Source organism: Homo sapiens, chromosome 1 (genome assembly GCF_000001405.40).
Source record: "Homo sapiens chromosome 1, GRCh38.p14 Primary Assembly".
NCBI lineage: Eukaryota > Metazoa > Chordata > Mammalia > Primates > Hominidae > Homo > Homo sapiens.
In genome coordinates this window covers 219245859-219272371 of record NC_000001.11, presented here as the reverse complement: position 1 = coordinate 219272371, position 26513 = coordinate 219245859, and the positions used below count along the sequence as shown (strand labels likewise).

General features: G+C 36.0%; 1 protein-coding gene across 16 annotated transcripts in view; it reads right to left on the bottom strand.

Annotated features, from left to right (window-relative positions):
* Positions 1 to 26513, bottom strand: part of LYPLAL1 (lysophospholipase like 1) — a 271619-nt gene that overhangs the window by 173125 nt on the left and 71981 nt on the right. For 2 of the 16 annotated variants that reach the window (XR_007078557.1, XR_001736964.3), the window contains exon 9: positions 634 to 26513. The exons of the other annotated variants lie outside the window; for them this stretch is intronic. The gene's annotated coding sequence lies outside the window, so the exon portion shown is untranslated. The remainder of the gene's footprint in view (positions 1 to 633) is intronic. 16 annotated transcript variants of the gene reach the window in all.

Below are 26513 nucleotides of genomic sequence, written 5' to 3'. Positions count from 1 at the left end.
CTTTTCAGCCTGCTTCTTAGGGGTCATCTCTGTGTCTGTGTAGCTTAGTGGTCAGCCAATGACTGGTCACAGGCTATGCTCCAACACCTCTAGTTGATAAGGCTTCTACTCTCTGTGGATCTGTGTTTGGTTTAGGGGGTTGCATTCTAAGTCTGGGCAGTTTGGAAGCCAGCCCCAATTCTTTCTTTCTGCTGGGCCCTCTCAGGTCTCTGCTGCATAAGTGTAGAAGCTTCCAGAAAGCCAAGGATGTATGCAATGCTTATTAAGGCCCTCAATGACTATCTCGTTTCCAGGATCTCCCTGACTAACCCTCTGATATTCTACTTACACCCCAACAGGGACTGCAACCTTAGGCTAGGAGAGCGGCAGACTTTTCTCATTTGCTGCTGGGTGTGGGTCTTCCTTCTTTCACTCCAAATAAAGTCAGTCTCCTGCAAAGCAAAGCTGCTGGTTTTCACAGACTGCCTTGGAAGATTTCCAGGTTGCTGGGATAATTGTTTTCATCAAATTTGTCCAGCTTTATAGTTGTTTAGGGGAAAATGATTGCTGATCTCTTCATTTCTTCATAGCCAAAGTTCTACCTCATTCAAGATACTAGAATCATGCCTTTTGTAAAGTTAAAAAAAAGTTTACCTTTCATTTAACTGTGGTATTAGGCATCATTTATTGGCAGGTGGCCACCCTTCACTGCACTGAGAAAATGAGTCAGCTATCAAGCCAGTGTGATCTGAACATTAGTCTGATAAGAAAGCAAAGAGATTAGCATTTCAGCCTTAGAAAATGTTAAAGATGAACATTAGCTAATCAAATTCATATTTCTAAATTAAATGCATATTCTTTTAATTGGCAATATTCTTAAATGCTCTTCAATGCATGCAGAAAAATACAAATGCAAAAGATTATAATCCTTTAAACTCACGGAGCCGGTCTTTTAGTTAGAAAAATAGAAAATGTCAAAGGAAAAAAGCCTTCAGAAAAAAAAAAAAAAACACTTCAACCAGCATGAATCAGTGAGCACACATTAATTCCCACTTGTGCTGTGGGGATTAGCACAAGCTAGCTCCCAAGAGGAAGTTTCTCCATGTCCCACAGAATCTTCACAAAAATGTCACTTAACAGTGCCCAATAGGCCGGGCGAGGTGGCTCACGCCTGTAATCCCAGCACTTTGGGAGGCCGAGGCAGGCAGATCACCTGAGGTCAGGAGTTCAAGACCAGCCTGACCAACATACAAAAACCCCGTCTCTACCAAAAATACAAAATTAGCTGGGCGTGGTGGTGCGTGCCTGTAATCCCAGCTACTCGGAGGCTGAGGCAGGAGAATCCCTAGACCTCAGGAGGTGGAGGTTGCGGTGAGCCGAGATCGCACCACTGCACTCCAGCCTGGGCAACAAGAGCCAAGCTCCGTCTCAGATACAAAAAAGTGACCCATAAATGAACAAACAGCATCACCACATATGTAGAAGGCAGGATCAGCCCTTCTTTTCTTGTTTGTTTCCCCCTGTCATAGTGATACAGGAGATAGAAATAAATTATTTAGGCAGATAGTAAGGCAACAGAGTCCTCAGTGAATTTCCTTTTTAACAACAACATCAAAAAAAGCAGCCCCCAAATCATTTCTTTTCTAACAAAGAGCAGCCTGAAAAATCTATCTGCAAACATAGATAAGCAAGCTGGAAACTTGCACAGATGAATGCTGGCAGCTTGTGCCAATAGGAAAGAGCTACCTGGAAGCCAGGTATGTTCAGCACAGCGACTCCATCTTCCTTTTTCTTTGTCACCATATGTACGGTAGAAAACCAGGCAATGTGGCGCCAGCCGTGTAGAGAACCCATCTGCTTAATGAAAGATTAGGGTGGGTGGCCAGCCTTTTCGTGCACTATGCATGGCACACCCAGTCCTAACCAGTTTTTCATGCCTTATGCAAATGGAACACCTGGCCCAACCAATTTTTCATGCCCTATGTAAATCAGACACCACCTCCTCAAGCTCATCCATAAAACCTTCTGTATTTCACTGCAAAAGCAGCAACACATTTCTTCAGGACCCCTGTCTCTTCAGCAGAGAGAGCACTTCTCTTTCTTTCACCTATTAAACTTCCACTCTGAACTTCACTCTGTGTGTGCCTGCGTCCTAATTTTCCATGGCCATAAGACAATGAATCTCGGATATTGACACCAAACAACAACACCACTAAAATAACACCACTTGGCATCTTTGACTGAGTGAAGTGGATACTTTGGTGTCACACCACTGCACTTCCACCTGGATTCTGCCAATAACTGGAGGGCAGCCAGAATCTAGCCTTTATGCCCATTTTCCATCATCAATATCTAAGCTTGAGATTTAGAGAAATTTGGTCATCAGTAGGACTTGAACTCTCAATCAAGTATTATAGCCCATCTAAACAATTTTTTTTAAAGTTCGTTCATATTTTTGTCACTTCTGGGAAATAGCAGTTTGGTATTTTTATGATTTCTAGTCACATTCCTATTTATCTTCATTCTTCAACGTAAAATGGCAAGAATATATTTAGAAAATGATGCCTCTATATCAGAGATTTTCTACTTCTTCATAGTATGATATGTTTATAATTATGATTTGTGATATATTTATAGCCAACATGTCTTGTAAAAATAAAAATTCAGTTCATTGATTTAAATCTCTAGGAATAAAAAAGTGAATGGGGAGGTGGGATGTGTTTCAACTGTCCATTAGACTGATGTATTTATAAAACAAAATAATTTTTGTTTTATATTAGCATAGATTAATTGGCCTAGATGTAAAGCACAAAGAAAAATCTTTTAAATGTGGCCATTGAAATGTCCTTGCATTAAAGCATTGATAGAATATTAATCAGATTTTTGGTCCCTGCCTATTTACCCCTTCTGAATAAGAAAACTGAGGTGACTTATTCTGCTATGTTGTACATTACCACACTATTTCCACTACCTGTGAAGTCTGTGAGCTAAATCATTTTAAAAGAATTAGTCACTATGTTAAAAGTTTTTCCTTTTGGCATGCCTTCATTCCATGTTTTGCTGTTGCTCTGAAGCATTTCCCTATTCATTAGCAATGAAGTTCAAAATATATACTACATAAGCAAAAGCAGTTAGCTAACACATGCTTCCCTTCTACTCCTCAAGATTCCCAGGCATCACTGCATCCTTCTCCCATCTTCACTTGTAGGACACAGAAGAAAAACTCCTCTCTTCTCTGACAATAATCTCCAGTCTCTCCATTCATATACACTTGGGCATACAACACTTTTCTCTTCCAATAAACTTTTAGAAGAGACTGCTGGCCATGGCTTGTCACAGACTTAGAGCAGGTGACTGCCTTGACCGGCTACATCACCTTTGACAATCAGCCACAGGAAAGGGGGTTTAATTACAATGAACGTTAAGCAGATTGAGAATAAACAATTACTTCACAGGCAAGCTGGACCACATGTATTGCTACTAAGGCCCATGAGCACCTTGGGGGCCAAGTTATAAATCCCAGAAAGCCTTCTGAACTTAGCAAGCACCTTACACAGGGTAGACTGTGAGGTTGATGAATATTTGGTTAATGAGTGAATTAAATGGATGAGTGACTACAGAATAATGAAGCCTGCTTTTGTGTGAAATTGACAAGAGTTTCCCTAGAGTAATGTAGAAAAACACCTGCCTTTGCAGAGGAGTCTGGATGATATGTCTTTCAAAATCTTCTTCTAGCCTTTATATATGGACTTGTTTTTTATTTATCAGAACATATAACTTTTTCACTCAGTACCTGACAGTTGTTCCCCATTTCACTCAGAGAAAAAGTAAAAGTACTTACAATAGCCTGTAAGACCCAACATGAGCTCATCTGACTATTCCCTTCATTACCTTTCTGACTTTAGCTTTCACTTCTTTCTCCAGCCCATTTCCTCCACCTCCATTGGTCCCCTTGATGGTTCTTGGATGCACCAGGTACATGTTTAGAGGCCTTAGCACCTTTGTGCTAGCTACTCCATCTGCCTGATGATTTTACCCAGGCAAGCGCATGGCACATTCCTCGCCTTCTTTAAATCTCACCTTTGCACAGAAAACAATCTTGACCGCCTTATTTAATACATTATCCCCCCACCCCTCCTTATCACCTTACACTTCTCTATTGTCTTCTTAGCATTTACCACCTCCTAATATAATGCATAATGTACTTACTTAGGTTTTCCTCTGTCCCCTGTGAACTGCCTCCATTTCCACACTAGAATATAAGCTCCACGAGGGCAGGAATTTTTGTGTTTTGCTCACTGCCATACCTATAACAATGCCTAACACATAGTAAGTGCTTAATAAATATTTGTAAAATGAATTATTACTTATAAGGTGTTTTGGACCAGTTACTATGTTAGGAGTTGAAAAGCTACTGTGTGTTTTAGTTGTTCCTAAACCAAGCTACATATCAAAATCACATGGAACCCCTGTTAAAATAGATTTCGGGCTCAACCAAAGAAAATTCTGATTAAATGATATAGGGTGGGACTCAGAAATACGTATAGAGGCCTCAGATGATCCTGCTGGAAGCTCTGAATGATAGAAAGAACATGATTTTGGAGTCATATCTATCTAACTTTGAATCTCTACTCTGCAATTTATCAGCTGACTGTGTGATCTTGGGCAAATTACTTATTGAAGCTTATTCTCTAGCAGCCTGTTTTCTCATCTGTAAAATGGGAACAAATATTTAGTGAATGAATAACTGAATGAAGGAATGGATCAGAAGCCCTCAAAAGGATTTCTATAAACATTAATGAAGGTAACACAGGCCTGAAATGTGAGAGGCATTTAAGAGATATTAATGACCTAGTTTTCCCAGACGTAGTTATATTTAACAAATAAGCAGAGGAATATCCAGTCCATATTTGCATCTTTCTTGGTTTGGCAGAGGGTGAGTTTACTGGGGCTTCATCTAGGCATGAACTATTTAATCTCTGTACTTGGAGTAGATAGGGGTTGGCTAAAGCTAGCAGAATATTTTGTTGTTGTTATTGACTTTGGCCAGAGGTTCCATGTTATTAGCTCTTTGGGAAAATGTACTAAGTTTATGAGATGGGTACATTTTGATAAAAATAAATAAGGAGTGTGTTGCTGGGGGGATTAATGAGTGGTCTTGTTTGAAATGACCATGTGTTCTCTGGCTTCAATGATTGACACTCAAGAAGATTCCTCCTAGGGTTTTTGGAAACCCACAAAGAGAATTGATTCAGTGGCTTAAGAAATCCAGGGTTTATGAATGCTCATATATATCTACCATACAAAAGCTGAAGTTTTCCTGCAACTCTGGGGTTTATTTTCACAGAAAAATTGGGGTGGTATTTTCTAGCATTAAGTAATTCATCCATAAATTCACTGTGATCTTTCTCTGACACAACCAGTAATAGGAACAAATTTTATAGAACTATTTATCTTCTACATACTCTCAATTTGTGGTACAATTTGGAGAACAAGAAATAAAGGGAAAACATAATTTTGGGGAAAGATATCAGTGTACTTTACTGAAGAGAATATAGTCATGCACAGCATAATGACATTTCCATCAACAACGGACTGCATATAGGACAGTGGTCCCATAAGATTATACTACAGCTAAACAAGCCCTATCCTTAAGTGACTCAGCCATTATAACATTATAATGCAACGTATTACTCACATGTTTGTGGTGATGCTGATCTAAACAAACCAACTATGCTGCCAGTTGTATAAAAGTATAGCACATACAATTATATATAGTGTGTAATATTTGATGATAATACATGACTGTTACTGATTTTTGTATTTACTATCACTATACTTTTTATCATTATTTTAGAGTATACTCCTACTTATTAAAAAAAAAGTTAACTGTGAAAAAAACCTCAGGTATATCCTTTAGGATGTATTACAGAAGAAGGCATTGTTATCATAGGAAAGGACAGCTCCATGCTTGCTATTACCTCTGAAGAACTTCTAGTGGGACAAGACGTAGTAGCAGAAGACAGTGATATTGATGACCCTGATCCTCTGTAGGCCTAGGCCAATGTGTGTGTTTGTGTCTTTGTTTTTAACAAAAGAGTTTGAAAAGTACAAGAAAAATACATTTTAAAAATAGAAAAAAGCTTATAGAACAAGGATATAAAGAAAGAAAATAGTTTTGTACAGCTCTAAAATGTGTTTGTTTTTAACTAAATGTCATTACAAAAGAGTCAAAAATTTAAAAAAATGTTAAAGTTTATAAAATAAAAAAGCTACAGTTAGCAAAGTTTAATTTATTATTGAAGAAAGAAAAAATTTAAATTAACTTAATATAGCCTAAATGTAGAGTGTTGATGAAGTCTACAGTAGTGTACAGTAATGTTCTAGGCTTTTATGTTCACTTACCATTCACTCACCTGCCACCCCAGAGCAACTTCCCATCCCACAAACTTTATTCCTGTTAAGTGACCTATACTGGCTTACATTTTTTATGTTATTATACTGTACTTTTACTGTACTTTTTCTGTGTTTAGCTATGTTTAGATATACAAATATTTACCATTTTACTAAAAGTGCCTACAGTATTCAGTACGATACCATGTTGTACAGGTTTGTAGCCTAGGAGCAATAGGCTATACCTTATAGCCTAGGTGTGTAGCAGGCTGTACCACCTAGGTTTGTGAAAGTACACTCTATGATGTTTGCACAATTACAATATCTTAAGGATGCATTTCTCAGAAGGTATCTCTGTCATTAAGTGATGCTTGACTATACTACAATAGAAATGTATGATTATTAAACTAGAGAACAAAATGCTAATGTTATTAAAATATAATTCTATAGTAGAACTTTGAAATACTTGTTTTTAATTGTCATCTATAACTCAGTTAAATTGGGGAAAAAAGAATTGCAGCTTATTTGACAATCAAGCGCCGTTTTACAATTTTTTCAATCATTAAATAATAGATTATTGTGTAACTCTTGAATCAGGGTTAACATGTACTTGTTTATGATTCATCTCTTCACAAATGCCTTAATGTAGGAGCAAGCATCATGTCAAGGCTTTTATGGGACCTGGATCTGTGACTTCAACATAAGAAGAATGTAATAAGCCTTTATTATTTATGTGATTGGCTTGCCAGATATAATAACATGCTGCTTTTAATCCATGTAATCAAGGAAAGGAACATTAGCTAGAAAATTATAGAGAGTGCTATATATACCCCAGGACCACACCCATGCTGTGTCAGCCCTCCAGGCATTCTTTTTCTTTAGCCCATTTATTGCCATTAATGCTCCTCATTTAAAAACAAAAAAAGTGAAATTAACACAAGTGAATGTAAACTTTTAATCTTAACTTCTAATGCAAAGACAACTGGCTACTTGAGAAGAAATATTGTTTAATATGCCCACCCTAGCCAATAATAAATAAATTAGATATTTTTAAAAAGACTGTTGGCGACGTAATGTGTATAAGGCACTGAAATCATAATTGGCACTACCGTTTTGGCCCTGTGACCAGTTTTACATCAGGGACTTATTTTCCAGCTTTTTCCTCTGAGTTGTTGTAATCATTTGCTCTAGTAGAATCTAAACTGAATGGCATGCACAATAAATGTGCTCCCTCCTGGAGCTCACACAGGCATTGTAAAATGCAAAGGAAAACAGTGGGAGGCATTGAAGTGGCTCACACACTGACCTTTTGAAAACCAAATAGGAGAAAAGATCATCTAAAAGCCCGGGTTAGTCCAGAATCCCACACACATGACTCCAGACTGCCCACCCCCAACCCAACCAAGCATTCGTCTTCACATGTCACAAACAGACAGACCCAAAGACCATAAAGTCAGCCTAGATTCATAGGCATAAAGCCATCATGAGAGGATGAAGTCTACTTTGGAAAATCTATGAAGTTATTTTGCCCAAGTTGGTAAACATTCTTCATGTTTGGCTTTGCAATGTAAATCTAGATTAAATATAAAGGAATAACTAACCAAATATTTTTCTAGCTGATTATGAAGTATTTTACAGAAAAAAAAATTTTCAACTGACCAGAAACTCTATCATATATACCCAGAACAAAGAGATAATATACTTAAATTCCTCTGTCCACCCAATTGGTGGTCTGAAAATTTAATTTTTCTTTCTTTCTCTGATACCACTGCCAGTAGTAAATATTCAGCTGTTAGAACAGAGTGGACTCTTTGGTTAGTACTGTGTGATACAGACCTGAATATAGGATTACTCTAGAAAGACTTTGACACTGGAGATAGGTATAGCAGTGATTTTTTAAAAAATAAAAATTGGATTAGTTTATCAGGATTAAGGAGAGAAAATGGCAGATGGGAGACAGGACTAATGGGCAGCTCCCAGTTGGACAGACAGGACAGCATGTGAAGACTCACACTATGAACTTTTGCTCTGAGACCTGCCACAGGAACATGCCAGGAAGACTGAAAGAGTTCACAGATCCTGCGGAAGAAGTGGCTGGCCACTGCAAACTCCATGAGATAGCCAAAAAACTGTGAGTTCCCAAAGTATGAAAGGGGAAAATATGCCTCTGAACACACATCCCACTGCGGAATCTGAAAATCCAGGTCATGAGAAAAAGATTTAACCTTACGTAGAACTGAAACAAATTTAGGGAGCTGAGCAAAATATTAAAGCAGAAGAAGCAGCAGGAAGAGCCCTGTAGGCACTCCCAGGTCCCAGCTCAAGCCCAGGGAAGCCATCCCTGACTCTATCTCACAGGGGTCCTTGGAGAAGGTAGCCATCAGAAGTAGGGAGGGATCACAGGGTGAAAGAAGCTTCCCACTGAACTTCGTAATAATTTAGTTCAAGCATGAATTTTCTTGAGCAGAATCTAGGGGACAAACAGGAATTGCTAGAGATACCAGCACAGGAGCAGTGGCCATCAGTATCGGAAGGTGGAGAGGCATGAGACCTAAAAGCCATGCTTGCTTTCTCAGTGGCAGGCTTGTAACCTGGGGCAAGATCTGAGCCCTGCATGCAGGCTGCCTGGATATAAACTTGGCACTATTGGTGGGGCACAGCAGAAGTGAGACTGGCCTCACCAGCTGTGTGGGAGCTGGGTAACACCTATAACTGCTAGGTTTCCCCCACTTCCCTGGTGACATATACAATGAAGCAGAAGCAGCCATAATCCCCCTTGAAACATAACTCCATTGGCCTGATAACCACCTCCCCATACCCCACAGTGGACGTAGCAAGCCTGACCCAAGGAGAGTCTGACCTGCATGGTTTTCCTCTACCTGCCTGGTAGCCAAACACAAAACACATAAATTCTTGGGAGCTTTATGGCCCTGCCCATTACCTGAGAAACTTATCCTGTCCAACTTAGGGCAAGCTTATATCCCCCTTCTACTGCCACAGCTGGTGCTCTCTTGAAAGTGCCACCTCCTGGCTAGAGGCCAACCAACTCAAACCATTACAGCAATTCATGACAGAATAATCCTGCTCCAAGGAAAGACAAAACAACAGCTAATTCCTCTGCCTGCAACGTCCTGGCTAACCAGAGGTCCTGACTCTGTCCATGTGACAACTTCACTGCTAGAATAACTAGCATTTGAGAAAACCAAAACGCTAAACATAACTACAACCAAGGACTCTCACAGAGTCTACTTCCCTCCCCTGCCACCTCCACCAAAGCAGGTGCTGGTATCCACAGCTGGGAGACCTGAAGATGAATCACATCACAGGACTCTTTGCAGACATTTCCTAGTACCAGCTCAGAGCCTGGTAGCCCCACTGGGTGGCTAGACCCAGAAAAGCAATAATAATCGCAGCAGTTTGGATCTCAGGAAGCCCCATCCCTAGGGAAAGTGGGAGAGCACTACATCAAGGGATCACCCTATTGTACAAAAGAATCAGAACAGCAGCCCTTGAGTTCCAGACTTTTCCTCTGAAATAGTGTACCCAAATCAGAAGGAACCAGAAAAGTAATTCTGGTAATATGATGAAACAAGGTTTTATAACACCCCCAAAAGATTAATGGATCCAAACCAAGAAGAAATCTCTGAATTCTCAGATAAAGAATTCAGAAGGTTGATTATTAAACTACTCAAAGAGATAGCAGAGAAAGATGAAAACCAAATTAAATAAATGTAAAAAATAATACAGGATATAGATGAATTATTTCCAGAAAAATAGATATCATAAAGAAAAAACAATCACAACTTCTGGAAATGAAAGACACATTTAGAGAAATACAAATTACACCAGAAAGTTTGAACAATAGACTAGAACAAGTAGAAGAAAGAACTTCAAAGCTCAAAAACAAGGCTTTTGAATTAACCCAATCAGACAGAGTCAAATAAGAAAGAACAAAAAAATATAAACAAAGTCTCTGAGAAATTTGGGATTATGTTAAACGACTAAACCTAAGAATAATTAGTGTTCTTGAGAAAGAAGAGAAATCTAAAAGTTTGGAAAACTTATTCAAGGGAATAATCAAGCAAACATTCCCCGGCCTTGCCAAAGATCCAGACCTCCAAATACAAGGCGCTCAAAGAACACCTGGGAAATTCATTGCAAAAAGATCATCACCTAGGCACATAATCATCAGGTTACATAAGGCCAAGATGAAGTGAGGCAAAGGTATCAGTTAACCTGTAACGAAAAACCTATCAGATTAACAGCAGATTTCTCAGCAGAAGCCCTATAAGCCAGAAGGGATTGAGGATCTATCTTCAGTCTCCTCAAACAAAATAACTATCAGCCAAGATTTTTGTATCCAGCTAAACTAAGTTTCATAAACGAAGGAGAGATAAAGTATTTTTCAGACAAACAAATGCTGAGAGAATTTGCCACTACCAAGCCAGCACTACAAGAAAGGTTAAAAGGAGTGCTACCACCACCTCTGCCTTTTTCTTCATGAGTTAGTATTTAGTATTACATATCAGTAATATGCTAGCTCATTATCGCTGGATCAGCTCCAGGAAATGAAGACAACTGACTATAATATTCCTTGAATTGTTGTTGCTATCCTGGAGCCCTAGCTAGTAATATAACCCCAAACCTTCCCAACTGATAACGAATCTTGAGCAGACAATCACCACCAGGTGGTGAAGAATCATACACAGGACGATGAGAGATTTAGATTTTAAAGTTGGACACCTGAACTGCTTAGATGTACAAGTTCATCCAGGTCATTTCAATAACCATATAAAAATGTAATTGAATAAATTTGAACTTTTCTTATCATTTTATGGTGAGGTTTAATGATAGCTTATTTTTTCTCTTTCTTTTCTAAAAAGATATTTAAGGCGATGCCTTTTCCTCTGAATACAGTCACTACTGAGTCTTTTGGATCTGATATAAAGTATTATCTTTTTCATTGCTTTTGATATGGTTTATATGTCATTTTGATATTTTCTTTGTGACCCAAGGATTATTGAAAGGCATGTTTTAAAATTTCCAAGTATAAACGGCTTGAAATCTCAAGTATTTTAAAAAGAAGAGAATCACCTTTTAATTATTTTTTAATGATTAGGATAAAAAATTTGGCCTATAGAACCTAATTTCTAAAAACTATTAAAGGTTTTTTTGTCTTCAAGAACTTGAATGGCTTTCTGCAAATATTCCATGGAAATACAGAGAAAGGCATTTTCTATTTGAGATTATAAGGCTTTTTTTATATATGTATATGTGTGTGTATTTATGCATGTGTCTGTATATATGTATATATGTGTGTATGCCACCTATATTATATATATAGAATTTATAAATTTTATATACATATAAAATTTAATATATATATAATGAAGTTCTTTATTGTATTATTCGACCCCTCTGTATCAATATTCAATATTTTTTGGAGCCTACTAAGTATCTCCAGTTCTGAGAAGATATATTTTATCAAGTATTTCTTGTAATTCAAATCACTTTTCTTTAGTTATTTCACTGCCATTTGTTTGATGTGTTGAAGTTATGACTGCTATTTTATGCTTTATTATTTCCTTCTTTATTCTGATTAGTTCTTTTAACCATTCCACTGTATCTAATATTTATACTGGAACTCTTTGTTTCTCTTCGTATTTGCCTTTTATCTCTTTGACCCTTCCATTAATACAATTTTTTCCTCATTCAGTTTTAATTATATGACTTCTAACACAGATTTTTTTTCTTTAATACCAATCTTAATGCCTCTGATTTTAATGGGAATATTCAAACCACTCACATTCAGTGTAATGATTGATATAAATGAGGTTTATTACTTCCATCTTAACCTTTAAACTTTATTTTGATATTTCCTCTTCATTTTTCTTCTTTTAAAAATTCTGCTGTTTTGTAAAATTATCTTTTGGATTTGTACTAATTTACCCTTGTCTTGCAATTTAAACAAATTCATTCATTTCATAAATTTGCAGAACACTTTCTGAGTTTTAATGAGAATAAACTTCAAATTGTTAATATTCTTCAAAAGTTATGAGTGTTGGTTTAATTACTCAAACTTCTTTTAGTCATATTCATTAATTTCCAAATATTTCAATTTTTAAATAAAATGCATTTATCCATATCAGCTACTTTGTTTAATTGAGTAATCTCATGAATTTTTCTTTTTTCTTAATTTATTTATATATTTTTTTATTTCAATAGTTTTGGGGGAACACATGGCATTTGCTTAAGGTTCTTTAGTGATGATTTCTGAAATTTTGTTGTGCCCAACACCTGACCAGTGTACCCTATACCCAGGGTATAGTCTTTTATCTCTCACTTCTCTCCAACCCTTCCCCCCGTGTCTCCAAAGTTCATTATATCATTCTTATGCCTTTGTGTCCGTGTAGCTTAGCTCCCACTTATAAGTGAGAACATACGATGTTTGATTTTTCCATTCCTGAGTTAATTCACTTAGAATAATGGTCTCCAACCCCATCCAGTTTGCCTAAATGCCATTATCTCTTTCCTTTATATGGTTGAGTAGTATTCCATGGTATATATACATATATATATATATATATATATGTATATATACCACGTTTTCTTTATCCACTCATTGGTTGATGGGCATTTAGGCTGATTCTACATTTTTGCAATTGTGAATTGTGCTACAACAAACATTTGTGTCCAAGTGTCTTTGTTACATAACGGCTTCTTTTCCTCAGGGTAGATACTCAGTAGGATTGCTGTATCAAATGGTAATTCTACTTTTACTTTCTTAAGGAATCTCCATATTGTTTTCCATAGTGGTTGTACTAGTTTACATTTCCACCAGCAGTGTAAAAGTGTTCCCTTTTCACCACATCCACACCAACACCTATTTTTTTTTATTTTTTAATTATGGCCATTTTTGCAGGAGTAAGGTGGCATTGCATTGTTGTTTTTATTTGCATTTCCCTGATAATTAGTGATGTTAAGCATATTTTCATATGTTTCTTAGCCATTTGTGTATCTTTTGAGAATTGTTTGTTCATGTCCTTAGCCCACTTTTTGATGGGATTATTTGTTTTTTTCTTGCAGATCAGAAATCCTTGTAGATTCTGAATATTAGTCCTTTGTTGGATACATAGTTTATGAATATTTTCTCCCACTCTGTGGGTTATCTGTTTACTTTGCTGACTATTCCTTTTGCTGTGCAGAAGCTTTTTAGTTTAATTAAGGCCCATCTATTTATTGTTGTTTTTGTTGCATTTGCTTTTGGGTTCTTGGCATTCCCAAAAGAAAGAAGAAGTAATATAGTAAAGATGGCACAAACAGAAAACAAATAGGAAGATGGCCGATTTATACCCAAATATATTAGTAATGACATAATGTAAATGGACTAAAAACTGTATAAAGATAAAAACTGTCAAGATTCAACAATTTTTGAATTGTTGAAATTTAACAATATGCCTACAAAAGATATACCTTACGTTTAAGAGCATAGTATAGTTGAAAGTAAAAAGGTAGAGGAAAATATGCTATTTGTTGCAGGAAGTCAGGGACCCCGAACGGAGGGACTGGCTGGAGCCATGGCAGAAGAACATAAATTGTGAAGATTTCATGGACATTTATCACTTCCCTAACAATACTCTTATAATTTCTTGTGCCTTATAATTTCTTAGGTGTAAGAAATTACTTTAATCTCTTAATCCTGTTATCTTTGTAAGCTGAGGATGTACATGACCTCAGGACCCTGTGATGATTGCATTAACTGTACAAATTGATTGTAAAATGTGCGTTTGATCAATATGAAATCTGATTGTAAAACATGAGTGTTTGAACAATATGAAATCAGTGCACCTTGACAACGAACAGAATAACAGCAATTTTAGGGAACAAGGGAAGACAACCATAAGGTCTGACTGCCTGCAGGGTTGAGCAGAATAGAGCCATATTTTTCTCCTTGCAGAGAGCCTATAAACAGACATGTAAGTATGAGAGATATCACTGAATTCTTTTCCCAGCAAGTAATATTAATAATTAACACCCTGGGGAAGGAATGCATTCCTGGGACAAGGTCTATAAATGGCCACTCTGGGAGTGTCTGTCTTATGTGGATGAGATAAAGACTGAAATATGCCCTGGTCTCCTGCAGTACCCTCAGATTCGCTAGGGTGAGGAAAAACCCCACCCTGGTGAAATTGAGATCAGACCAGTTCTCTGCTCTTGAACCCTGTTTTCTGTTGTTTAAGATGTTTATCAAGACAATATGTGCACAGCTGAACACAGACCCTCATCAGTAATTCTAATTTTGCTCTTTGCCTTGTGATCTTTGATTTGCCCTTTGCCTTGCAATCTTTATTGGCCTCAGAAGCATGTGATCTTTGTTACCTACTCCCAGTTCATACAGTCCCTCCCCTTTTAAAACCCCTAATAAAAACTTGCTGGTTTTGCGGCTCAGGTGGGCATCACAGACCTACCGATATGTGATGTCTCCCCTGGTGGCCCAGCTGTAAAATTCCTCTCTTTGTACTCTTTCTCTTTATTTCTCAGACTGGCTGACACTTAGGGAAAATAGAAAGAACCTACATTAAAACACTGGGGGCTGGTTCCCCCAATACTATTCAAACAGTAACCAAAAAAAAAAAAAAACAAAAACTGGTATGGATGTTTTAAAATCAACCAAAGTAGATTTTATAGCAATTAACATATTTTTCATAATGCTAAAAAGGTAATGAATCAGGAATACTATATACAATAATTCTAGACATATATACAGCTATTAACATAGCCTCAATGTGTGTGAAACCAAACTTCAAAAAATGTTAAACATAGACAAATTAACAATCATAGCAGAGACTTTAACACAGTTTTTTACAAATGATAAAGTAGAACAAGCAGATCTAAAACATAAGGATACAGAACATCTGAAAAAGACAATTAAGAAACATGATCCAATTGGCATAGTAGGATAATAACAAAATACATATTTGTTTTAAGTGCACATGGAATATTTACTAAAATTTACAATATACTAGGTCATAAGGCAAGCTTCAATGAGTTTTAAAAGCTTAAAATCATGGAGTGTATTATTTGACCACAGTGAAATTAAGGTGAAAAGCAATAACCACAAAAAAAGATAGCCAGAAAATTCCCAAAAGGTTGGAAAAGAAGTAGTATACTTCTTGATAACTTATGGATCAAGAATAGCCACAGTGGAAAATCAAAAATAATTTGAAGTAAAATATGACAACTTGGAGAATGCAGCTAAAGCCATGTGTAGAAGGAATCCGTTATCTTACAAACATATATTGCAAAGAAGGGTTTAAATTCAATGACTGAATATCCGTCTAAACAAATCAGCAAATTCAACATAAGTAAAGAAGGGATGGAAAATAATAAAGGTTAGAGCAACAGTTAATAAAATATAAAAACTAAAGTGCAATCAAAGGATTAAGAAAGCCAAAAGTTTGTTCTTTCAAAAGGAAAAGTAGCAGCACTAGTAAGACTAATGAAAGAAAGAAAGAGAGAGAGAGAAAGGAAGAAAGGAGAAAGGAAGGGAGAAAGAAAAGAAAGAGAGAAGCAAAGCTCAAATTAGCCTTCTGGAAAAAGGGATCATTATTACATTTTGTAAAGATATTCAAAATATAATAAGAGAAAATTATAAATAATTACACTCCATTAAATCTGAAAATTTAGGTAAAATGTACACATTTCTTGAAAACCACACATTCCTGGCACTAATTCAAGGATAAATAGAAAATTAAAATAGTCCTTTACCTGTTAAGAGTTGAATCAGTTATCCAATAATCTCCGCAAAAAGATAACTCTAAGCCCAGATGATTTCACTTGTGAATTCCGCCAAATATGTTATTATAAAAACTCTTCTATAGTAGAGGAAAAAAGGATCATTTCCCTAACTCACTTTATGATGCAGTTAAACTTTGATAGAAAAATCTGATGAGAATATTACAAAAAGGAAAATTATAGTCAAATGTATCTTATAAAATAGATGAAAAAATTCCTAAATAAATATTAACCAAGCTAATCTAGTAATGCATAAAAGAAATCATATATGATGGTAAAATGGCTTTAAAATTAAAACTCAATCAATGTAACATCACACTAAAAGAAAAAGGAGCAAAATCGTGGATATTTTTGTCTTTGTTATCTTTATAGATATAGAAAAATATTTTGATAAAATTTAACATTTATTCATGATAAATACTCTTAGATTCTAGGAATGAAAGGAAACTTTCTTAATCTGATAAAGGGTATCTACAACATACTTACAACATATTTAATGGTGATTTATTAAAAGATTTCGTCTTGATGTTAGGAATGGAGACAGGCTTGTCTACTCTTGTCACTCCTGTGCAACATTGCACGAGGGGCCCATTTAGAACAAGGCAAGAAAAAGAAATCAAAGGCATAGGAATTGGAGAGGAAGAAATAAAATTGCAATTTGGGGAGACAAAATGATTTTAAACATAGAAAACCCAAATGATTTATAACCAAACTACTAGAATTAATAAGTGAATTTAGCAAGTTTGCTGCATATTAGACCAATAAAAACATTATATTTGTATATACTTGCAACAAATAAATAGAAAATTGAATTTTAAAAATACATTTACAGGAGCATAAAGAACAGCAGACATTTCTGAATTAATATAATGAAAGATGTACAAGATCTCTACATTCAAAATTAAAACAATTAAAAAATCAAAAACATTATTGAGAGAAATTAAAGTAGTTCTAAATAAATGGAGTATATATACCATATTTATAAAAAATAAAAGTTATTATAATAATGTCAATTCTCCCCAAATTCATCCATAATTTTAATACAATTTCAATCAAAATGTCAATATACCTGCTGATTCCAATATTTATATAGAAATTTAAAGAGCCTATAAAAGTCAAGGCTTTCTTTAGGAAGAAATAATTAATAGCAGAATAAACCGAGCTGAGGAAAAGAACTCAGAATGTGAAGTCTGGTTCTCTGAAATAAGATAGTCAGACAAAAATAAATAAAAAAGAATGAAAAGTAAGGAACAAAACGTTCGACAACTATGGGATTATGTAAAGAGACCAAATCTACAAATCATTGGCATCCCTTAAAGGGAGGGCAGACAACTTGGAAAATATATTTCATGATATCATCTATGAAAACTTCTCCAACCTTGCTAGAGAGGCCAACAGCCAAATTCAGTTAATACAGAGAACTGCAAGATTCTACACAAGAAGATCATCCCCAAAACACGTAATTGAGCTTTCTCCAAGGTTGAAATGAAAGAATGTTAAAGGCAGCTAGACAGAAAGGGCAGGTTACTTACAAAGGGGACCCCATTAGGCTAACAGTGGACGGCTCAACTGAAATTCTACAGGCTGGAAGAAACTGGGGGCCTATGTTCAAAACTCTTAAAGTAAAAAGTCTTCAACAAAGAATGTCATATCCAGTTAAACTAAGCTTCCTCAGTGAAAGGAAAATAAGATCCTTTGCAGATAAGCAAATGTTGAGGGAATTCATTACTACCAGACTTGCCTTAAAGAGATCTTGAAAGGAGTCCTAAATATGGACAGAAAAGACCACTACCAGCTAATACAAAAACACACTTAAACCCACAGACCAGTGTCACTATAAAGCAACCACAAAAACAAGTTAACATAATAACCAGCTAACAGCACAATGACAAAATCAAATTCATACATTCAGTACTAAACCTTGAATGCAAAGGGAATAAATGCCCCAAATAAAAGGCACAGAGTGACAAGCTGGATAAAAAAGCAAGACCCATTGGTATGCCATCTTCAAGAGATCCGTCTCAAACGTAATGACACTCATAAGCTTAAAATAAAGGGATAGAGGAAAACCTACCAAGCAAATGTAAAACAGAAAAAAGCAGGGGTTGCGATCTTAATTTCAGACAAAACAGAGTTCAAAGCCACAAAGATCCAAAAAGACAAAGAAGGGCATTACATAATGGTAAAGGGTTCAATTCAGCAAGAAGAGTCAACTATCCTAAATTTATATATGCACCCAACATAGGAGCACCCAGATTCATAAAGCAAGTTCTTAGAGACCTACAAAGCAACATAAACAACCACACAATAATAGTGGGAGACTTCAACACTCCACTGACAGTATTAGACAAATCATTGAGGCAGAAAATTAACAAAAATATTCAGAACCTAAACTCAACACTGGACCAAATGGATCTGATAGACCTTCATAGAACTCTCCACCCAAAAACAACAGAATATACATTCTTCTCATTGCCACATGGCACATACTCTAAAACGAACCACATAATTAGACATAAAACAATCCTCAGCAAATGTAAAAGAACTGAAATCTACTAAACACAGTCTTGGACCACAGCTCAGTAAAAATAGAAGTAAAGACTATGAAAATCACTAAAAAAACAAGCAATTATATGGAAACTAAACAGCATGCTCTGGAATGACTTTTGGGTAAATAATGAAATTGAGGCAGAAATCAAGAAGTTCTTTGAAAATAATAAGAACCAAGATACAACATACCAGAATCTCTGGAACACAACTAAGGCAGTGTTAAGAGGGAAATTCATAGCACTTAATGCCTATATCAAAAAGTTAGAAAGATCTCAATTAACAACCTAACTGCACAACTGAAAGAATTAGAGAAGAACAAATCAACCCCTAAGCTAGCAGAGGAGAAAAATACAAAATTAGAGTTGAACTGAAGGAAATCAAGACACAAAAAGTTATTAAAAAGATCAATAAATCCAGGAGTTGTTTTCTTGAAAAAAATTAATAAAATAGGCCACTAGCTAGACTATTAAAAAAGATAATAGAGGAACTCCAAATAAATACAATTAGAAATGACAAAGGGAACGTTACTACTGTCCCCACAGAAATAAATACAACCATCAGAAACTACTACAAACACCTCTATGCACACAAACTAGAAAACCTAGACGAGGTGGATAAAATCATGGTCACATACATTCTCTCAAGACTGAGCCAGGAAGAAGAAATTTATGCCCTGAAAAGACCAATAAGAAACTCTGAAATTGAATCAGTAATAAATAGCCTACCAACCAAACGAAGCCTGGGACCTGACGGATTCACAACCAGATTGTACCAGATGTACAAAGATGAGCTGGTACCCTTCCTACAGAAACCGTTCCAAAAAACTGGAAAGGAGGGACTCCTCCTCAACTCATTCTATGAGGCCAGCATTATCTTGATACCAAAACCTGGCAGAGACACAACAACAAAAGAAAACTTCAGGCTAATATCCTTGATGAACAATGATGCAAAAATCCTCAACAAAATTATTGTAAACTGAATCTAGCAGCACATCAAAAAGTAATCCACCATCATCAGGTAGGCTTCATCCCTGAGATGGAAGGTTGATTTAACATACACAAATCAATAAATGTGATTCATCACATAAACAGAAGTAAAGACAAAAACCACATGCTTATCTCAATAGATACAGAAAAAGGCTTTTGCTAAAATATAACACACCCTTTCATGTTATAAACTCTCAATAAACTAGGTATCGAAGGAACATACCTCAAAATAATAAGAGCCATCTATGACAAACCTATAGCCAACATTATACTGAATGGGCAAAAGCCAGAAGTCTTCACCTTGAAAACTGGGACAAGACAAGGATGCCCTGTCCTACCACTTCTATTCAACATAGTATTGGAAGTCCCAGCTAGACCAATCAGGGAAGAGAAAGAAATAAAGGGCATCCAAATAGGAAGAGAGGAAGTCAAACTATCTCTGCAGATGATATGACTCTATATCTGGAAGATCCCATAGTCTCAGCCCAAAAGTTCCTCCAGATGATGAGCAATTTCAGCAATGCCTCAGGATACAAAATCAATATGCAAAAATCAGTAGCATTCCTATAAACCAACAACAGCCAAACCAACAGCCAAATCAGAAAGGCAATCCCATTCACAAATGCCACAAAAAAGAGTAAAATATCTAGGAATACAGCTAGGAATACACATGAAGTGAAAGGTCTCTACAATGAGAATTACAAAACACTGCTCAAAGAAATCAGAAAAGACACAAAGAAATGGAAAAACAGCTCATGCTCATGGATAGGAAAAATCAATATCACTAAAATGACTATACTGCCCAAAGCAATTTATAGATTCAATGCTATTCCTATCAAACTATCAGCTACATTCTTTACAGAACTAGAAAAAGCTATTTTAATATTCATATGGAACCAAAAAGGAGCCTGAATAGACAACACAATCCTAAGCCAAAAGAACAAAGCTGGAGGCATCACATTATGCAACTTCCAACTATACTACAAGGCTACAGTAATCAAAACACTATGGTACTGATACAAAAAGAGGCACACAGGCCAATGAAACAGAATAGAGAGCCCCGAAATAAGGCTGCACATTTACAACCATCTGATCTTTGACAAAGCTGACAAAAAAAAATCAGTGGGGAAAAGACTCCCTATTTAATAAATGATGCTAGGATAACTGGCTAGCCATATGCAGAAGATTGAAGCTGGACCCTTTCCTTATGCCACATGCAAAATCAACTCAAGATGGATCAAAGACTTAAATGTAAAACCCCAAATTATAAAAACCCTAGAAGACAACCTAGGCAATACATAGGAACAGGCAAATATTTAATGACAAAAACACCAAAAGCAATTGCAATGAAAACAAAAATTGACAAATGGGAACTAATTAAACTGAAGAGCTTCCACACAGCAAAAAACAAACAGAAAAACAAACCATCCATAAACAGAAAACCTACAGAATGGGAGAACAAATTGCAAACTATGCACCTGACAAAGGTCTAACACCCAGCATTTATAAGGAACTTAAACAAATTTATGAGAAAAACAACCCCATTAAAAAGTGGGCAAAGGACATAAACAGCCATGCAGCCAACAAGCATGTGAAAAAAAATTCACTATCTCTGATCATTAGAGAAATGAAAATCAAAGCCATAATGAGATACTATCTCACACCAGTCAGAATGGCTATTATTGGAAAGCCAAAAAACAATAGATGCTGGCAAGATTGCAGAGAAAAGGCAACACTTATACACTGTTGGTGGGAGTGTAAATTCGTTCAACCATTGTGGAAAGCAGTATGGCGATTCCTCAAAAAAGCTAAAAGCAGAACTAACATTTTACCCAGCAATCCCATTATTGGGTATATATCCAGAGGAATATAAATCATTGTATCATAAAGACACATGCATGTGAATGTTCATTGCAGCACTATTCACAATAGTAAAGACGTGAAATCAACCTAAACACCCATCAATGACAGATTGGATAAAGAAAATGTGGTATGTATACACCATGGAATACTATGCAGCCATAAAAAGAATGAGATCATGTCTTTTGCAGGGACATGGATAAAGCCGGAGAAAAATATCCTTAACAAACTAACACATGAAGAAAATAATGTCTGATGAAATAATATGTACAATAAATCCCCATGACACATGTTTACCTATGTAACAAACCTTCACATGTACCCTCAAACCTAAAATAAAAGTTAAAATAAAAATGAAATACAATGCCAAGACTTATGCCACAAGGCCTCAAGACTTATTATAAAATGATACTAATTAATGCTTTGAGCCATCGCTTCAAGAATAGGCCAAAAGAACAGAGGGAATAGAAACAAACACAGATATGTGGTCACAAGATTACAACAAGGGTAACAGGGCAGTGTGGTAGGGAAAGGGTAATCATTTCAGTAAATGGTTCTATGTAAGTTGAATATCCATACAGAAAAAAGTGAATCTTGATTCCTTCTATACCATATACAAAAATCAAATTATATAGAATATAGATCTAAAGAGTAATATACTTAAGCTTTTAAACACAGAAGAATAACTTTGTGACTTTGGTGTAGACAAAAATATTTCCTTAACACCACTGGTGCTACTCAAAAGATGCTAAACATAAACAAGAAAATTAATAAATTGGCTTAAATTAACATTAGTAGTTTCTTAATTTATCAAGACACCACAAAGAGAGTGAAAAAGCAAAGAATGGGAGACTATATGTCACCAGTCTGTGCAACAATAAACTCAGATTATGATCTTTAAAATTCTTACAATTAAACAAACAAAAAGCAAATGGGAAATGGACAAAAGATATGAGCAGACACTTTAGAAAAGTAAATATCCCAATGTCTATCAACACGCAAATAAGTGTTCAGTTTCACTAGTTATCAGCGAAATGTTAATTAAAGCACAGTGCATACCACTAAAGCAAAACAACAAGTGCTAAAATGAGAAAAGATAGAAATTACCAAGGGTGGGCAACAATATGAAGCAACTAGTACTTTCATGCACTTTTGTATGATTTGCATGAGAGTGTAAATTGATAGAATTCACTTTGAAAAATAATTTGATATTTTATTGTATAGCCAAACATTAGCATCACCTATGATCCAGCATTTTCACTCCTTGATATTTTTGCACATCAAGAGACATGCATAAGAATATTCATGTCAGTGGTGCTCATAAGAGCAACACACACACACACAAATCCCTAACAACTCAAATGTACATCAATAGCAGAATGGAGAAATGGTGGCATTTTAACACTATGGAATATTACACAGGAGTGAATTACATTCAGTATTATGAATGAATCTTTAAACATAATGTTGAGTGATGAAAGAGGGCCATTAACAAGATGATCCCATTTTTACAAAGGCCAAATACCAGAGAAAATAAGCCACATACTGTGTGCGTGTGTGTATAGTTTATTTTTTTAAAGGGAAAGAATGATAGAAGGCCGGGAGACTTGTGATAGTGGAGGGAAAAGGAATGAAATAGATGAGAAGCCTGAGAGTATATGTAAGTCACTGATGACCATCTAGTTCTTTAGCTACGTGATGGTTTCATTGTGAGATATCCACATAATGAAATATGCAACCATTCTCTCACACACACCAGAGAGAAAAAGAGAGAGTAAGTGAATAATGGTCCCAATATATTATTTGAATACAACCACTATCTTGGACAATTTGTGAAGGGGTACATGTTTTTTTAAAGACATATACATATTTCTGTGTGTTTGTGAATTTGTGTGTGTAAGGAGAAATCAGTGTATGCCAAAGTGCTTGTTTCTAGATTATAGGATTTATTTTCTTTGCGTTTATCTGTGGTGTCTAAAAGTTCTATACTGAACATATAATATTTTAAAGAAGTATGCTAATTTTAGGTGTCTAATTCATCATCACAATACTCTTCAATGTTGAGTAAGCTATTTATTTTTACTATAGCCTTCACGCCCTGAAGCAACCACAAAATAGAAAATTTTACATCGAATGCAGTCTCTGTGCAAATAAGCCAGTCCCCACAATGGCTGAAATAATCGTTACCAACAATCTGAAGTTATTAGTGCCATAATGACACAGTCTTGACAACTTTCATAATTAAATTTTCAACAGCTTTAATTCCTGGCATGCTTTATAATTTGATAACTTCTTTTCTGGAAATAAAGGAGAAATCAAAAATCAGATAGGAGAGGAGAGAACCTTCACCCTTCTGATAATATATGTCTCAAATTTAAAGAAAATAAAGGCACTTAGGTCAGCATCTAAACCTGAAGCTCTATGCTAATTTCTATTTTAAAATCTGCCACTCTCATCTCACAAAGAGCCAGGTGTGGCAAACATCCTCTTGCATAAGTCTGTAAAGCAAACCTCATCACCAAGAGTGTCAGAGCCCAGAGATTTATTATAAAGTGATATATTTTCAAAGAGCAGCACAAAGAGTCTTTTAACACTGAATTTGTCAGGACCTCGTCGACATCAAACAGATGCTTTTCACTTGGAGCATTTGACTCTTAAAACTTCAATGTTTCATATGTTAAGTGATTGGAAACTTGGGAACCATGAAGTAATACTTTTCTCTGATTTGGAAAATTTGACTCTTTAACAATGAAACTTTAGATGCATATTAAGAAATACTTTGAGAAGTGGTATAGTGTTTTCTTAATAGAGAGACTATCATTTGATTCAGTAATATTACTTTTTCAAGGATTAAAAAAATCCCTAAAGTTGATTTCATGTTTTCATAGGTTTTTTTTAACCCTCTCTACCCTTTTCCCCTGTACTCACCTACATTTCTCATTGATTTCTTCTAAAAATCAACTAAGCACCATGTGCATGAGGCTTTAATAAAAAAAAAGTCTAACATGGGTCATTTGATGTTTGCCTTAAGAAAGAACTCATATGCCAGAAGCCAACTGCTATCATGTCATATTCTTGAATAAACATGGTGCCTCTCCTAAGCTGAAGCTGTTGTTTATTATTTTGCATACATTTTAACCCACATAGTCATATTGAGCTTTCCTGGTTACCAATCACATTATAAACCACAGAAAGCATGCAAAGCTGGAGAAGCAGAGCCTAGTTCTGGTTAATAGTCCTACTCAGCCTTTGGTCCAGCTAACTCTAACTACATCTTGAGCTGGATCATAAGGGAAAGAGCTATTGCTTTTGGATTTAAGAAGTATGCAGTGCCCAGCGTTCCTAATGAACAGGAGAAACAGCTGGGCCACCCAACATGATCTTAAACCTGTACCATAAATAATGAAGCACAAACTAGAACTTTCTCAAGTAAAGAAACTTATGAATTTCACTTGACAGATGTTTCTTTATAAGATTTTTGCATTGCACTTTTTAATTTAACAAACAAAACAAAATTTCTTTACTTTGGATTCTATTACTCATTCGTTAGAGTGTAAGTCTGGAGTAAAAGGAATGAACATTTATTGACTATAATGTACTAGAAAATGCAACACATTATCATGAAAATTTGATTTTGCTTAAGAAGTAGTTATAATTGCTAACAAAGAATAATCTTTTGCTTAATATCTACTGCACCAGATGTGATATTAGGCACATAATTACATGTCTATTTTAATACTCAAAATAGTCTTGCCAGAGAGATATTATCCTCACTTTTCAAATGAGAAAACAGATACAGGGAAGAAGGTGTATGTGCTCACAGTCACATCATAATGGGCCAGCAGTTTAACTTAGGTGTTTTTCAATTTAAGGTTCCGGCCTTCCCATTACATGTTTCTTTATTTTATAGAAAGTGTAAGTTAGGCCGGGCACAGTGGCTCAGGCCTGAAATCTCAGCATTTTGGGAGGCCAGTGCAGAAGGATCATTTGAGCCCAGGAATTTGAGACCAGCCTGGGCAATATGGTGAAACTCCATCCCTACAAAAAATACAACAATTAGCTGGGCATGGTGGCATGTGCTGTAGTCCCAGCTACTCAGGAGGCTGAGGTGGGAGGATCACTTGAACACTGGAGATCAAGGCTGCAGTGAGCCATAATTGTGCCACTGCACTTGAGCCTGGGCAACAGGGTGAGACCCTGTCTCCAAGAGAAAAACAATGTAAATTAAGGTTGTCTACTTGTAAACGGGGCATTTGCTTGTCATAAAGGGAGAGAGTTCTGGTGTCGGCCACTCCAGGTTAGGGTGAGAATGCAGGATGCATAAGAAGGAATCAGTAAATAATATCTTTTTTCCTCTCCTCTCATGTTCAGATACATTTGAGAAATCAGACCTAGATAAAGATAGAAATGTCAGCTTTAGTACTAATAAAGCCGATTGGATAACATGACTTTAGATATGTTAATGAAGTCTAAGTCTAGACCTTGGGCCAGCTTGCCTACAGGATCTCATTAGAGGATCCTGCAGTATCACTAGAGAATAAGATTTCTGCCTCTTATTGATCTGGGGCTTGCTGCCTTTTAGTGAGTCAGTTTCTACTCAGTTGAGAAATACGGACCACGGATGGCATCTGCCAATCAGATAACTCCATTCTCTTTCATGGGGCAAGGAGAAGATGGGGCACAAAACCAGGATTGCTATGTGAACAGAAGTTTTGCAGAAAATCAGAAAACAAAAGGGAAAAGAGGTTCACTCATAACATTCTTTAGCATTTTAATTTGTTAACCATTAAACCTAACATGAACCAAAGATATGGCTAACTCCCCACATCCCCCGACACACAGAGGATATTCCTTCATGATGGTCCATCTCCTAACTTCATGCAGTCTTAGTCTCTCTGTTGTTTATCGACTCGAGTCCACAGTGTGCAGTTTAGATTTTGTCAGAAGCCA